Source organism: Homo sapiens, chromosome Y (genome assembly GCF_000001405.40).
Source record: "Homo sapiens chromosome Y, GRCh38.p14 Primary Assembly".
NCBI classification, from domain to species: domain Eukaryota; kingdom Metazoa; phylum Chordata; class Mammalia; order Primates; family Hominidae; genus Homo; species Homo sapiens.
Genome location: NC_000024.10, coordinates 1,849,428 through 1,853,154, shown reverse-complemented (window position 1 = coordinate 1,853,154; position 3,727 = coordinate 1,849,428).

Genomic DNA, 3,727 nt, shown 5'->3' with positions numbered 1-3,727 from the left:
ATCCCACCATCCAGACAACACTCACGTTGACCTCCGTGATGAAGCACCAACCTGTGTTGGTTGATACTTCCAAACAACAGATCAACTCTCTGTCAGGCTGAAAGGAATCCAGAGCTATAGGGATGTGATGGAGTGACTGACTGGCTTCAACGACTGGACAATGGATTACATCGAGGACTTTAGGGCAACTTATCTATTCTAGTTCTAATTCCAGTTCAGATTCCACTACGTTTCAGCACAGTGCCTCATCTTAATAGTCTCCATGAACTTCAAAACAATCTTTGCCGCGTTTCAATTCTACTTCCAGGGACTTTAAGAGCGTGGCTTGTATGTAGTGTGATAATGACAGAACATCCTCGGTGTAAGAGTTAAAGAGGGCCAGGCACGGTGACTCACACCTGTCATCCAGCACTTTGGGAGGCCGAGGCGGGTGGATCATGAGATCAGGAGATCGAGACCATCCTGGCTAACACGGTGAAACCGTGTCTCTACTAAAAATACAAAAAAGCCGGGTGTGGTGGCGGGCGCCTGTAGTCCCAGCTACTAAGAGGCTGAGGCAAGAGAATGGCGTGAACCCAGCAGGCGGAGCTTGTGGTGAGCCGAGATCGCACCATTGCACTCCAGCCTGGCCACTGAGTGAGACTCTGTCTCAACAACAACAACAAAAAAAGAGTTTAAAGAAAGAGAAAAGAAACACGGAAAGCAACTCAACAGTCAAAGACAGGTTTATTTTGGAGGATAAATATGAGACGGGCTTCTGGCTGATTTCGGTCAGGAGCGTTCTTTCTTAATAGATCAAGGGTATTTAAGGGTTTAGGAAGGGGGGAGGTTATCACGTGTTCGGAATGTTTGTACGTGAGGGGAAAGTTTATTTTGGGACCGGAATGTCTCTGGTCAGAGGGGAGGCTATCTCAGGGTTGGCATGTTTCTGCTTGGAAGTGGGTTTATCTTAGGGATGGAATGTTTCTGGTTATGCTGACATTAGCCATTAGGCTGATGTTTGGGGGCTGGATTTGGGCGATTTTTTAATCAAGGGAAACTTCAAATGGCAGTGTTTGTCTAAGAGGGTGAGGCTCCTGCTTTGCCACTTAGGAAGCTCTGAAAGGTCTCATGGGGTGGCCTGGTGAATTTCCCTGGCATCTGAGAAGCGGTTCTCGTTCCAGCTCCCCTAAAATTGAAAAGGCTGCCTTTTTTTAAAAAATTGTTTTATTTTATTTTATTTATAAAATTTATTTATTTATTTATTTATTGCTTCTCAGGCTGTGAAGGACTGGCGGATAGTCAACCATCCGTCCAAGCTCCATTCCACCTCTTGGCTTGAGCTTGGCTTGAGGAATCCCTCCACCATGTCACTTTACAGCCTTCTGGTCGAATCCGGGAACATTCCACTGACCTTGCATTTTTTCCTCCTGCTGAGTCTCCTGACTCACCAAGTCCCGGGCCAACCAAAATGGCCGAGGCCACAGGGAGCATGGACCAGGCCACCCATGAGACTATCATGGGCAGGTACTCTTTCTCAAGCATCTAATTTTTTTTTCCTGCCTCCTTTTGACCTAACCATGTTTCTCACTGCCATTTGCTCATCTCTGCTTTGGACAGCTTCTGACCCATTGCTCAGACAATAATATGGTTCTTTTTTTTTTTTCTTTTTTTTTGGATGGAGTCTCGCTCTGTTTCCGGGCTGGAGTGCAGTGGCATCATCTCGGCTCACTGCAACCTCCGCTTCCTGAGTTCAAGTGATTCTCCTGCCTCAGCCTCCCGAGTAGCTGGGATGACAGGCACATGCCACCATGACTGGCCAATTTTTGTATTTTTAGTAGAGACGGGGTTTCACCATGTTGGCCAAGATGGTCTCGATCTCTTGACCTCCTGATCCTCCCACCTCGGCCTCCCAAAGTGCTGGGATTACAGGCGTGAGCCACCATACTCAGACAATAATATGGTTCTTTCTCCTTTCCCACAGAGATCACCTACCAGCTTGGACCAATCATTTGGGCCCCAGGTAGAGGCCTCTAGGTCTATAGCTGCAGGTTTGGAGTGATGAAGCCCGGTAGATAGACAAAGCTCCCAGCGCCATCCTGAGACACACTGATGTTCCCCTGGCTCTCTGAAGCCTCTGTCACAGTTCCTCCAGCTGAGCTAGCTCTCCATACCTCTGGCCACCCCATAGCAACCCTCAGTTCCCCCATACGCTCCCTACTCAAAGTGTGGTCTATGGACCAGTGGTATTCGCATCACTGGGTACCTTACTAGACATTCAGCATCTCAGGCTTCCCTAGATCCACTGAGTCAGAATTCCAGTTTCACAAGCACAAGGAAGGTTTGAGAGCCGCCATGCTGGCCATCCTGCCCATGGTGGGAGACAGCTGTTGAATCCTATCAAGGAATCCGAGATGGTGGTTAGTTGTGTAACCTGTTTCTTGCTCTTCTGACAGAATTCCCGCAGTGGCCCACGCCTGTCATCCCACCACTTTGGGAGGCCGAGGTGGGCGGATCCCTTGAGGTCAGGAGTTTGAGACCAGCCTGGCCAACATGGTGAAACCCCGTCTCTACTAAAAATACACAAATTAGCCGGGCGTGGAGTCTGAGGCAGGAGAATCTTTTGAACCTGGGAGGCGGAGGTTGCGGCGAGCTGAAATCATGCCACTGCACTCCAGCCTGGGCAAGATAGTAAGACTCTCTCTCAATAATAATAATAATAATAATAATAATAAAATAAATAAATGCACACACTGCCTTTAGAAAACCCTCTAGTGTGCAAGTCGAGTCACAGACAGAAAGGCTAAGGAGGTTTTTGGTTGGGAGAGATTTTTTCCTTTTCTTTTTTTTTTTTTTTTTGAGACGGAGTCTCACTCTGTCACCCAGGCTGGAGTGCAGAGGTGTGATCTCGGCTCACTGCAAGCTCCGCCTCCCGGATTCACGCCATTCTCCTGCCTCAGCCTCCCGAGTAGCTGGGACTACAGGCACCCGCCATCACACCCAGCTAATTTTTTGTACTTTTCTTTTTTGTATTTATTTATGTTTTTGAGACGGAGTCTGGCTCTGTCACCCAGGCTGGAGTGCAGTGGCGCGATCTCGGCTCACTGCAACCTCTGCCTCCCGGGTTCAAGCCATTCTCCTGCCTCAGCCTCCGGAGTAGCTGGGACTACAGGCATCTGCCACCACACCCGACTAATTGTGGTATTTTTAGTAGAGACGGGGTTTCACCATGTTGGTCAGGCTGATCTCGAACTCCTGACCTCGTGATTCACCAGCCTCAGCCTCCGAAAGGGCTGGGATTACAGGCATATGCCACCATGCCCAGCCCATTTTGTGCTTTTCAATGTGTATCGTACAAGGGTTGAATTTCAACCAGGTGCCAGAGTTAACACGGTAGTTGTTTATACTATTGGTCACGTCCTCTGGGGGGTTTTCTTCAAGTGAGTGAACAAAGCTATGCAGGAATTTAAGGCAGGGAAGAGCACCATGCTGTTTCATTCCAATCTATAGCTTTCCACATTGCCACCCATCTGCCAGCCTCCAGCAAAGAAACCATCCGTCAATGCAAAAGCATCGCCCACACATATCCCATTTCTGCCTTGAAACTGTCTCTGGTGGGCCGGGCGCGGTGGCTCACGCCTGTCATCCCAGCGCTTTGGGAGGCCGAGGCGGGCGGATCACGAGGTCAGGAGTTCGAGACCAGCCTGATCAGGAGTTCGAGACCAGCCTGGCCAACATGGTGAAACCC